The following is a 13108-nucleotide window of genomic DNA, read 5'->3' as shown; positions in this document are numbered from 1 at the left end:
AGGTAGATGAATTCCCTTCTCAGTTCACACTACAAAGGAACCCTGTCTATGGACTAATGAAACCCTTTCTGCTCACCTTGATAAAGAGAATTGGGTATTGCCTGGGCCAGCCATAGTCAAAAATAAGAAAGTAAAAGTATTTCTTTCATCCCTCCTTTCTGTAACCCTCTGTTCCCTTCCAGCATCCTACTTTTTAAGCCCACCTTTTATGTTTAAGTCATACTAAGGGATTAGGGATGCTAATTTAGTACACTAACTTAGAACCCCCCCTCAGGGCCTGGTGTGGTGGCTCACACCTGTAATCTCAGCACTTTGGGAGGCTGAGGCAGGCAGATCGCAAGGTCAGGAGATAGAGACCATCCTGGCTAACAGGGTGAAACCCCATCTCTATAAAAATACAAAAAATTAGCCAGGTGTGGTGGCGGGTGCCTGTAGTCCCAGCTACTGGGGAGGCTGAGGCAGGAGAAAGGTGTGAACCTGGGAGGTGGAGCTTGCAGTGAGCCAAGATCGTGCCACTGCACTCCAGCCTGGGCGACAAGGCAAGACTCCGTCTCAAAAAAAAAAAAAAAAAAAGAATCCCCATCCCAGAAGTATTTTCAATTTTAAAAAGTGTATAAAATGTATAAAAGGACAATACTTCATAGAAACTAAGGTCTCCCTCTGGATGGAATTTCAGTCCTATGACCCCCTGTGGACACGTCAATATAGTTTAGTGATAACATCTGTGAATCCACGTTGTGAAAATGATAGTACTTTCCTAAGGTTTTTCAGAGGATAAAATGAGTTATTGCTTTTATCAAGAAGTAGGAAGGATCTGAGATTTTAATCCCACTTGCAACCTCATAAGTTAGCCTGCCACAGTTACAGGACACTGGCAGAAGGCATGAGACTCTTGGATCAGAGACAAAGGACTTTGTTATTCACAGCAAAAGCAGAAGCCAGAGTATGAGCATTCTCTTGTACTAGTCCCCAAGTCCCAGTTCCCGCAGGGCAACACAAAAAGGCCAAGAAATACCTGTCCACATGATGGGCTCTGTTACAGAAGAATGCTGAACTTAGGAAAACTGAATATTTTGTAACAGGTGGTAACCATACTGTCCATTCCTCCAGAGTGAGATATTATGTTTATTGTACTGGACAGTAAGCATATACACTCCTAGCTCTGGAGGGAGACACTGTATCAATCTCACAAAGCTGTTTGGTGTACAAACATTTTGAAAAAAATAATCCAGAATAAAGACAGTCAATGCCTCTGCTGGAATCACTTGCAACAATGTGAGTGACCCATGGAGCATTGTCTCCCAACTTCAAAAGCATGTGTCACAATACCTGGCAGAGAGTAATGACTTGGTCTCTGTGATTATTACCATTATTAAGTCACAAAGATGATTCTACCTTAGTACCTGAAGGATGGTCTCATTCAGTTACAGTGAAAATGAAAGGCAAATACAAACAAGTCATCATGAATCATACATTTTAGGAATTGAAATAGATACTATTCATTCATGGGTACCCAAACAGAGTCAGAAGGCTTGAGAAGACAGTTTGTTTATTATGGTGCTGCTTCTGCAGTTCTGGCATACCCAGTGCTGTGCTGTTTCCTGGGAGAAAATAAATAAGCTGAGGCCACTGCCCCCATTCTTTGGAGAGTTTAATCTTTCCACTTTTGAGGTATTGCTCACTGATTCAGTATGCAGAGCCAGGACTTGCTTCTTTCTTGCAGAATGAATGTGCTGTGGTCTGTCTCCTTCTAAAAATAAACATGCACCCAGACATCTTGTCTTCAAAATGCCATTGGTTTTTCCCGTTAAGTTGAAATGACAGAGGATGATTTTGAATGGAAATGGAATCATCATCTCCACAACTTGGAAAGCTCTGAGAGACAAGTTTCTTCAGGATGGAGTGGAAGGTCATACTTGTTTGTCTTGGATGTTCCCTCTCTTCTGTCCCTTGAATAATCCTTTCCCCCAAAAAGAAGGCTGCTGTTCTCTTAACACTTGGCTTTCTTGTCTCCAGGGAAAAGTAATTCGTTTACACCAAATACATTTACCCCAAGTATCTCGGATATGTGGCAACTAATATGAGCTCAATAAAAAAATTTTTTAACCTTGTTACTGAGGGATCCCATATGTTCTCCCTCACAAGGAACATACGAATTTTTTTATTATTATTATTTTTTGAGATGGAGTCCTGCTCTGTCACCCAGGCTGGAGTGCAGTGGCACTATCTCGGCTCACTGCAACCTCTGCCTCCCAGGTTCAAGTGATTCTCCTGCCTCAGCCTCCTGAGTAGCTGGGAGTACAGGTGTGCACCACCACAACCAGCTAATTTTTGTATTTTTAGTAGAGACAGAGTTTCTCCGTGTTGGCCAGGCTGGTCTCGAACTCCTCATCTCAGGTGATCCGCCTGCCTTGGCTTCCCAAAGTGCTAGGATTACAGGCGTGAACCACTGCGCCTGGCTGGGAATATTTGAATTTTAATAAAAAATAGACCTGTTTAGACAAAAGAAGAGGATCGATGATCTAAAAGCGTGAATCTCTAACTGATGTTCTGATACTAGTGAGAAAGGTAATTTGGGGCAGGGTGGGGGTGGGTTTGTATTTCTGCTTCAATTCCTGAGGCAATAATGACTGCCCCGTTTATATCAGAAGATCATTTAGAGCAGCTGCTTCTCAAATGCAAAGTGTGCAAAGTGCATATGAATCACTTGGGGATCTTACAAGATGCACATTCTGATTCAGCAGGTCTGGGTGGGGCCTGCATTTTTGTGTTTCCATCAAGCTCTCATGGTCTCAAGGCTGGTGGTCCACCGACCAGAGTTTGAGCATCAGGGATGGGGAGAACTTTGCTAAAGAAGGCTCGAGGTGGAGGAGGGGATGGCAGATTCCTATGGCTGCTTGGGCTTCCAGACAGAGCCCTCTGCAGGCTTCCCTGAACTCAGGAGTCTCCCTTGAGAGGGCTTAACCCCACTGCTTACTCCCATGCCTCTGCACGCCCTCCCTACCCAGTCCACAAAAGCAAGTCAGGGTAAGTAGTGAAGGTGGGGAGGGCAGATGAAAATCTCCCTAGACAGCGCATCCCTGAACTCAAACAGCACCCAGCTCACTGCAACTGGTGCAGCTGTGGGCTCTAGGCTCTGAGAGCAGATGGCAGGTGGGCAGAATCCCATGGAGGACCTTGGCCTCTTTCATAACCCCCACCCTGGACAACTCTCACACCTCTCTCCTCAGCTCCTTCCCAGGCTGAACAGAGAGTCACCTGAAGAGCAGATTGTCTGCTGATCATTAATCATATCCCCAAGACCTTGTGTCCATGCCCAGACACCGAGCTGGCAGAAGACAGCCGGCTTTAGAGAAAGCTGCTCCAGCGTGAGTTAGGAGGCACTATGATGTGTCACTTCCTGTTCTCGGTGACATCGCTGGGCTTACAGAGCAAGAAGGAATGCCTTGATAGCTTATTTCCTAAAACAATAAAAAATGAACAAACTAAAGTAATTTTTAGAATGTTGCTGCAGATCAAAACTCCAGTGAATTTCAGCAGGCACATATTGGTTGAGGGGTTTCAGGTTACTAACCACAATCTGCCCAAGGTGGATTAAACCATTTTTTCTTTAGATTCTAGGGCAGAGGTGTCCCCAGGGCCCTGGCCAGTTTACTACCTCCTCGCACCCCTTTCTTACTGTGCTTCTCATGTAAACCACTGTGCTCAGCTCCCCTCCATGCCTGGGCACCTCTCCCAAGCCAGGCCTGTGTGAGTGAGCTTGCTTCTCCCGCTTCTCACTTACCCTACCATCCCAGTTCAACTCTTGAAGCTAAGCAGGCAAGTGAATTTGCAGTAATGTTTTAGTGAAAACAGTAGCTCAAGACATCCTCAGATATGCCCTATACAAATCATTCTGCATTGCTGGTTCCCACGGAAGAATGAGAGCTAGGGGAAGAATGAGAGCTAGGGGAAGAATGGACCAGGAGGGTCAGCTTCCTCTCCGCTTCCACCCAAGCTGCAGAAGTGCTGCCTGCTTGATGTAATCACCCAAACAAATGGCAAAGAAACATGCTAGAGCCATCAGGCATGTAAGACCAGCCTACAGACAGGGAGAGTAGTGGCTAAGGAAACTGTGGCTGCAACAATGTGACCTCAAAAAAATATCCACCCTGTCTCCCTGATTTTCTTATCACAAGGCTTTGTCCCCTCTTAGAGAGGACAAAGGGTTCCCAGATAACGAAAATGCTATGTTGTATAGACATGTCTATCCAAGGGTGGATGAGTGCAGAATTCTCCCGTGAGAAGCTTTTCTTTGGAAAAGAGATCTCAACCATGTGAAATAAGGGTGCCTGGAGGGGCCAATACTAGTGAGTTGGGAAGAGGCTGCCGGACATGGTGAGGATGGGAGAGGGATTTGTTGAGGCTGCAGCTTTGAATTTTTGTTGACATTTTCAGAAGCATGGTCTTCTATTGCTGTATGTCTTCTGTGACTCTTGTTTTGCCTTTTAATTAGACGTAGATGATAATCCCTCCAACTACCATCCTCTCAATGAAGAAGGCAGTGCTTTTGCAAAAGAAGGAGGCTTAAGGCCTGGCACGGTGGCTCACGCCTGTAATCCCAGCTCTTTGGGAGGCTGAGGCGGGTGGATCACCTGAGGTCAGGAGTTTGAGACCAGCCTGACCAATATGGTGAAACCCTGTCTCTACTAAAATTACAAAAATTAGCCGAGTGTAGTGGCGGGCACCTGTAGTCCCAGCTACTCGGGAGGCTGAGGCGGGAGAATCACGTGAATCTGGGAGGTGGAGGTTGCAGTGAGCCGAGATCCTGTCACTGCACTCAAGCCTGGGAGACAGAGAGAGACTGCGTCTCAAAAAAAAAAAAAAGCCTGGGCGCGGTGGCTCACGCCTGTAATCCCAGCACTTTGGGAGGCCGAGGCGGGTGGATCATGATGTCGGGAGATCGAGACCATCCTGTCTAACATGGTGAAACCCCGTCTCTACTAAAAATACAAAAAAAAAAAAATTAGCTGGGCATGGTGGCGGGCACCTGTAGTCCCAGCTACTCGGGAAGCTGACGCAGGAGAATGGCATGAACCTGGGAGGCGGAGCTTGCAGTGAGCCGAGATCGCACCACTGCACTCCAGCCTGGGCGACAGAGCAAGACTCCCTCTCAAAAACATAGAAAAAGAAGGGGGCCTAACAAGATGATCTAGCTGTGACATTTGAACACCAGTGAGAATGGGCTATTGGAACAGGCCAGGTGCACATTCTCACTATTCCTCAAATCACCTGACAAAGATGGCTCTGCCCTGTTTATATCAGGAGATCACGTTCTTGGGTTAAAATGCTGCTGAAATGAGTGATTACCAATGAGGAGAGATGTTTTCAACTTCTGTCCTCTTTCCCTGCTGCGTCTCTCTCCTCTACCATATGTCCTGGCTCCTCAGAATTCTGTGGCACACAGGGTCCCTTCTCTCCCCCGTGGCGGAGCACCACCCCAAGCTCTGCACCACCTGAAATTCCAGGGGGACTCTAGCACATTCAGTGCCATCATGGGACTTTCTTATCAACGTGTGTTGAGTGACCGGCCGTTTGGTGGAACTGCAGCACAATTTATGAGGTTGGGTTTCCCATTTCAACATTTGCTTCCCTAAGATGCCTGTGAATGAATATAAAGCATATTGGGAGAAGGGAGATAAAAATATATATATACGCACATAGCTCTTCCATTTCAGGGGTTGGGATCTATGAGGTCTGCTCAGTTCTAGACGTATTTCAGGATTTGGGTCAGTTATGCAGAAGTCTTAGAGAGGTTTAATGTGGTAGTCACGGTGGGGTGCTCTACAGGGTCCTAGACAATAATGTCCCCAGACTCACCTGGTCCGGGACTCACAGTTCCTGGGTCGAGCCATAACCAGACCCATTCTAAAGCACTGGGGAAACTCTGTGTATCAGTGTGTGTATGTGTGTATTCTGAGTGTATGTGTGTGTGTGTGTGTGTGAGGGGGGGATGTGTGTGAGTGTATTAGGGATGAGGTAGTCCTGGCTTGGTTATCTTCTCCCTTGCTAACTTCTGCCTACTTATCACCATGGTTATGTTTTCATTCTTCTCAAAATTTGCTATTGAATGACCTTATGCTCTTAATGACCTTCTCATTAAGAGCATGTTTTTGGAACCAGACGGGGACTGAATGTCATTTCCACCACTTACTCACTATGACCTGGGGCCAGTTGCCTGAACTCTTTATGCTTTAGTTTTCTCATTTATCAAATAAAGATAATAATAAGCTGTCATGAGAATCAAATAGGTTAATTCACACAAAGCACTTACTTAATCTCCCTGAGCAAAGGTTTCTCAAATAGTAAATAGTTTCTTGTAAAGATCGGGGTACATGTGAAATCGCCTCTCCAAGTGCCTTTACATTAGGCAGCATATGAGGGTAAGCTACTATATGTAAAACCAATAATCACACCTTATTTTGTGATGATGGACAAGTATCCTGATGAGTGCCTGCTATGTGTTATGACTTCTGGTGATCTCATGCAATTTACTCATGATTTTTACCATAAATTGTATAACAATTGGGAAAACTGCTCAGAGAGGCTGGGTCCTTTGTCACTGAGCTAATAACTGGGAAAGCAAGGATTTGGACTTGGATCTCTTTGGCCTCAAAGCCATGTATTTTTTCTTCTATACTGCAATGATTTTTTAAAATAAAAAAATATATTATTTGACCATAAGGTTTAAGACCCAACATTCACATTCTGGAAATCCGGTGAATATAGAAGTTTTAGCTTTGTTACTGGGGCCAACTATACGAATGAACAAACTGATCTCAGAAGCCTGTAGAAAAGGGTAAAATGATGAAATCGCAGATTTTGAGAAGAATAAAGAAGAATAATAGCCATGGTGATGAGTAGGCTAAAGTCAGCCTTAGGATAGAGAAATAGGGGAGGGAGTGGAGCACAGGGCATATTATGACTTTGGCACTGACGCTGTACAATGCATTGTGTAATGCTGATGTATAATGAATGCGCCCCAAAGCGCTCTGTGCCCCTCTGGGAGATTCTAGCTTATGTGACACAGCAATGTGAATTTCTGCAAACCCAAATCCAGGGATGCTTGATATTAAAAGGAAGACTGAGGTGGAATTAATATTCTGGGCTTTTATGATTCCATTTTCTCTTCATTGCCTCCATCTGACTAGGGTGACAAGGTTTTATTTTAATCTCTTTGCAGTCAGTGAAGTAGGATCCAGGTGTTCCTTCAAGGTGCCCTGATCTTGCCATGTAAGACCTATAATTGCCCATTCTAGTATCAAATGTAAATGAAATTTACAAGAACGTGTCTAATTTGGTAAAATGAATAGATTTGGAAAACCCGCTAAGGAGACTCCCTTATCCCAGGTTAGAGCATGCCTCATTACCTTGAGCAGTATTTTTAAAGGAATCATTTACATACTCCTCCAAATTCTCTTTACTCTTTTAGATGCCCTCCAGGAAGCATCACAGGTTGGAAAGATGGAGTAGCCTGCTCAGATGGGTCTTATACTTTGTTTATAAGTCTGTCTCCCTTCACAGGAATGCAACCTTTTGCACGGGCAGGCTCCGTGTCATATGTATGTTTTCATTTCTAGCACTTAGCACATTATCTGGCATATAGTGAACACTTAGCATTTGCTGAATGAATACATGACCAGGGGAGAGAAAGGAGATGACTCGTATTCCATTGCTATGGTGTGTCATACATGTGTTGGGCCCTTCACTTACTTGATTTTATTTATTTTTCACAACAACCCCAGCTCAGACATTATTTTTCTTTTTACATATGAGAGCAGCGATTACAACTCCAAGGGCTTTGAGAGCCAGCAGGTAACACTGAAGAGAAAGTAGGCAGTAACCAGTAGAAAGTGGAAGGGGTTATGGAGACGTGGCCCAGTCTAAAGGGGGCAGCCCTGACTCAGCTTCACCCAACGGGTGCTGTGTGGGAATATGGGTCCACTGTTGCTGGACTTTTTAAATTTTCCAAAAACTTAGAAATTGAGATGCTTTGGTGGAATTTCCCAACTTTAAAATCATAGTTCACATGTGCTTAAAAGAATTTGTGGCCCAAAGGAATCAAATCTGCTGGACAGTTTTGGCCACAGCAAAACCAGTTTGTACCACCTGCAATTAGGCTTAGAGAAGTTAAGGAAATTGCTCAAGGTCAGGCAATGCCTGAGCTGGGTTTCTAACTTCTAAGTTCTAAATACAATTTGCTTCCTCATATATATATATATATAAAATATATGAATATAATTCATAAGTGATAAAATTATTTTAAAGATTATTTTATTCTCTAACCAAACCAGTCATGGATATTTGGCTGTAATTCCTATATCAATTTTTTTTCTGAGAAATTTGTGTCTGGGCATGATTTCATTTTTAAAATTTTCTCAGAGAACTATGTCTTGGGTGTTATGGGGTAACCTTCATCCCTGTAATACCAGCAAGCTTGTCCAACCTGCCTTATTTTGTTGTTGTTGTTGTTCTGTTTTGTTTTGTTTAGGCTTTTAGAGTCTGAAGCCATGATTTTTAGTTTCTGTCGCTAGTAATAAGTGAAAAAGAGGGATGAGGAAGGGGCTTTACTGGCCCAACCAGAAACAGAAACTAAAAACAAATGACTGTATTCTCTCCCTTGGACATCCCTGCAGGGTCTAAGGTAATTGTCCTTTCCATTGCATTCCTGTTATCACTAGCAGATCAAGCCAGCTATGCAGTGGGATAAGCAATTCCTTGCAGAGAGACAGCATTACAGAGGCACAGATTAGGTCCCACAGCTAGTAAGTGTTGTTAAGTCCAGGATTCAAATCCAAGACTCTGAATCTAGAGCCTGTGTTCTGAACTCCTGTGATATATACCCTCTCTGAATGCAATGGTGATAGACAGAGATGCCTTTGCTTCAGGCTTCTTTTCACCAAGAATAATGAGGTGAGTGTTAGGTAGATTCTTCCCCCTTATTAATTGTTATAGAATTGTCTTCCTTTGGCTGGGTATGATGGCTCACACTTGTAATCCCAGCACTTTGAGAGGCCGAGGAGGGTGTATCAGGAGGTCAGGAGTTCGAGACCAGCCTGACAAACATGGTGAAACCGGGTCTCTATTAAAAATAAAAAAATTAGCTGGGCGTGGTTGCACCTGCCTGTAATCCCAGCTACTCAGGAGGCTGAGGAAGGAGGAATCCGGGAGGGGGAGGTTGCAGTGAGCCGAGATCGTGCCACTGCACTCCAGCCTAGGCAACAAAGCAAGACTCTGTCTCAAGAAAAAAAATATCGACTTCTTTCTAAAATTCTCCATCTATCCACCCATTCATCCATCCATCCACACTCACTCATCCATACATACTTTCCACTTATCCATCCATCCATCCCTCCATTCATCCAACCATCCATCCATCCATCATCCCTCTACTCATTCATCAATCCATCATCCCTCCGCTAATCCATTCACCCATTAATCCATCCCTCCATCGATCACTCCACTCATCCATACATCCTTTTATCTACCCATCCGTCTATCCACATATCCATCCATCCACCCATCCATTCATCCATCATCCCTCTACTCATCCATCAGTTCATCATCCCTCCACTCATCCATTTATCCATCATCCCTCTACTCATTCCTCAATCCATTATCCCTGCATCCATCCATCCATCCATCCATCCATCCAACCATCCATCTACTCATCTATCTATTCTTCCATGTACTTATTTACTTCTTCACCACCACCACCACCACCAAAAATGTAGCAATTCCTTTTAGTAATAGCTGCTTCTATATCATCATGAGCTTCATCAAGGTGACTAATTTCAGAGGAAGCTTTGAGAATCAGAAACTTAAAGATTGGCATTGGATGTCTCTGAGAAAACAGCAGACAGATGTTAACAGGAGCTCTGCTGTTCTGAGTGGTATTTTCCTGGAAGTCTGTCAAGGAGTTTTCCAACTAAAATTAATTTTGTGGCATCTGAGGCAGAAACACAAGCTGTGCTTCATTCCAAGCCTTCATGCATGTGCATGTGTGCATGTGTGTGAGTGCCTCTGTGTGCCTGTGCCCATGTGCACATGCTTCTGTGTGCCTACATGTTTGTGTGTGTATATTTGTATGCATATGCATGTGTATGTGTATGCGTGCATGTGTCTGTGTGTTGGGGATGCGATCGGGCATAGTAAATATTTTGGGGAATAGTAAGAAAATGCAGCATCGCATTAATTGGCACATCTTTCATAAGAATTTAAACACCATGTAGCTCACTTTACAGAACTCAAACATGCTTTCTGAACTGCATTGAATTGAAGGCAGAAACACACCTTTGCCAGGATTACTCCAGGGAATTTAGTCACCAGCAAACGTGGAGTGGATTCTTTATAATGTGCCTATCTTTAGTTATCCAGGTGATAACAATGAATGACAGATGAAATGGCAACCAGAAGGTCTGACTATTTCTGAGGCTGACTCTACAGCTAGAAATGCTCCCCAGTGGCTCCATTCTTTGAACTCCATTAATAGGCTTTCTTGCCTTCTGGCTTTCATTTGCGTTTGGTCAGTGGTGGTGGTGATAGGAATAGCCGTCAGGGGAGGGGAACACAAGCAGCAGGCTAGAAGGGGTATGAAGGAAAGTTAGGTTGGGTATTTATTCCCCTGGGTTCTTTACAAGGGTTACTTTAGGCTGGTTGCACCCCTTAACTGAAATACACACTTCTATGACAGCCCCTTGGGTATCTGCTACCTCTTCTTTCCCCCGCAAGGCCTAGGATGGAAACAGGAACTGCCTTTACCAGCTCTGGTCTCTTGCACTATCTCCTGTGATTTTCCTACCCCTTGCTCATGACTTTGTAATAATTCCATTTATTAGCCTTAACTTGTCCCAATTTTCTGCCAAGATGTCTCTGATACACAGACCAACTGAAGTAATGGGACCCTAAAGCAAGTCTAAACCCATTTGTATGTGATTTTTCTCCATTGAAAGTTATGTAATACCAGACTTCCTTGCTCACAAGAAAGTTGTCAAGGCACAATGAGAAAGTAGACGAAGAGGCTCTGGAAGCGTTAAAATAAAAAGGCAATTCAACGGTAAGATGCTAATGCACCTTATACAATATCATCTCTGTATCTTTTCAGCTATAATAACAGGCAAGAGTAAAATGCTTAGTCACTTACTATCCCAGGAAAGTGGATCCTGTGCTTTCTGGGATGTTCATTAGGCAGCATCTTGCTTTCTACCAATAATTCAGCTGAGCATGAAAAATGTGTTGCACAAATTCCAAACTTCATCAGAACATCCCCACACTTGGCTGGGTGCCCTCCATTTTGTGGACACAGATGTCCAGTTGCTGAGACAAATGAGTCACACTGGAAATCAGTAAGTGCAATAAAACCACACTTGACTTTCAGAGTGCAGCTTGCTTGGAATGCATGGTTTTTGACCAAACTCAAGGAAGAACTTTACTGGGCATTCCAGGAAAGAGCCTCTTCTGGCTTAGGATAAAACAGTCCTTGAGGTGCCTCAGCACCCAGCATTCACAACACTCTAGGGTATACATTCCCATTGGGGCACCTCTCCATATCCTTTGCCCTGGCCATGGGCTTGCCCAGTGAGGCACAGGGATGTTTGAAGTCCTGGGTGAGCAAGCATGAACACAAGGGTTAAGCCGTCCTACCCTGTTTTCTCAGGTGATTGTTCCATACTCAGATTTTTCAGTATTGTGTGTTGATTGCCACATACCCCAAGTCTAGGTTCATCCATTTAATGAAATGTACCTCACTGGCTACAGCACTCACAGGTTTGAGCTAAGCAGGAAGAAAATGTATAAGGTGTAGCAGGTAGGTACTTTCTTGCCTGATGCATTCCACTCCTTTGATAAACAGAAACAAACAAACAAACAAAAAAAAACAAAACAAAACTGAAGGCTAGGAATAGGGTTGGAGAGCAAAGAGGAAGATCGAATTTTCTTGGACATTTTGCTGTGGAGTAGAAAGTAGAGAAGTAGAGAGCAGGAACACAGATATTTGGCACAAAGGAGGCTTTGACTTGCTAGGTACATTCTACAAAGTTTGGGGGGCTCTCTCTGGAAGGGTTCCAAGCTTGGGTAGCATCTCTGCATATCAAGGTCTCCCTGGTCTTATGTCCTTCAGACTAGACTCGAAAGTCTGATTGTTTCAGCAATGCCTCAAGGCAATGTCTTACCACCCATTTCACACGCAGTTTCTGGAATAGCCTCCTCACCTCATCTGTCTTTCTTCTCCTCCTTTACCATAGCAATAGGGACCTGAGTAGGGAGGATGCTCTGTGTCCCTGGTTCCCTCCATCTTCTTGGAAGAGTCTGGTCCCTCTCCTGATAGAGTTTCAGGTTTGCCCTGATGATCTAGATGAAGCAAAGTGTGGTGACACTTCGCTGAATGCTCTGTCAGTGTGCCTAGAAATAGAGTCTCTATCAGGGCCGTTTGCTTCCTATCACACTCCAACTGGCAAGCAGGTGGATTCTCTCACTTAGCAGCTGGCTCCCATCTGCCCCCTGTCAGTCTGCAAATATTACCCGAGTTAAACGCAAATTTCTAGCAGTGATGTGCACAGCCACAAAAAACATATGGATTCAAATATATACTTTTGAAAGTGACACCTTAGTTCAGTCATTTAAATTCGTTAGCTCAAAGATCGGTTTCATTAAAACTCCCACTTCTGCTAAACAGAAATCATGCTGACGTCAGGCACTTACCTCAATTCTCAGAAGTTGAGCAGGTCTAAGCCATCCTGTTCAATACACAATTCCCTTCAGTTTCCCTTACAAGACCTCAAACAAATGTCCAGGAACTGATTCAGGATATATGTTCTCCTCGGAAACCGGTTACTCAAGTTCTTGGTGGCTAATTACAAATACAGTAAACAAGGGACTTCACAGGGGAATCATTCAGTCGAAGCCAGCAAGGGAACTGGTGACCTTCAGTGTCACAGAGCTGGACTTCAGCACAATTAGTTCTTACAAAACAGAAAGCACATGGATTAAAAGCCACAGACACATCCTGAAGATACTTCCCTTATTTGTATACTTTTTAACTTTTATTTTAGGTTTGGGGGTACACGTGAAA

General features: G+C 44.0%; 1 long non-coding RNA gene across 1 annotated transcript in view; it reads right to left on the bottom strand.

Moving 5' to 3' along the window:
* The window catches only part of LINC02343 (long intergenic non-protein coding RNA 2343), a 268250-nt gene extending 255430 nt beyond the window's left edge, over nt 1-12820 (bottom strand). Inside the window, exon 1 of the long non-coding RNA NR_146542.1 lies at nt 12739-12820. This is a non-coding gene — a long non-coding RNA (long intergenic non-protein coding RNA 2343). The remainder of the gene's footprint in view (nt 1-12738) is intronic.
* Between the last annotated feature and the right edge of the window lie 288 nt (nt 12821-13108).

Source organism: Homo sapiens, chromosome 13, assembly GCF_000001405.40.
Source record: "Homo sapiens chromosome 13, GRCh38.p14 Primary Assembly".
Classification (NCBI taxonomy): domain Eukaryota; kingdom Metazoa; phylum Chordata; class Mammalia; order Primates; family Hominidae; genus Homo; species Homo sapiens.
The sequence above is the reverse complement of the archived record's forward strand: the minus strand, read 5'-3'. Positions and strand labels throughout refer to the sequence as shown.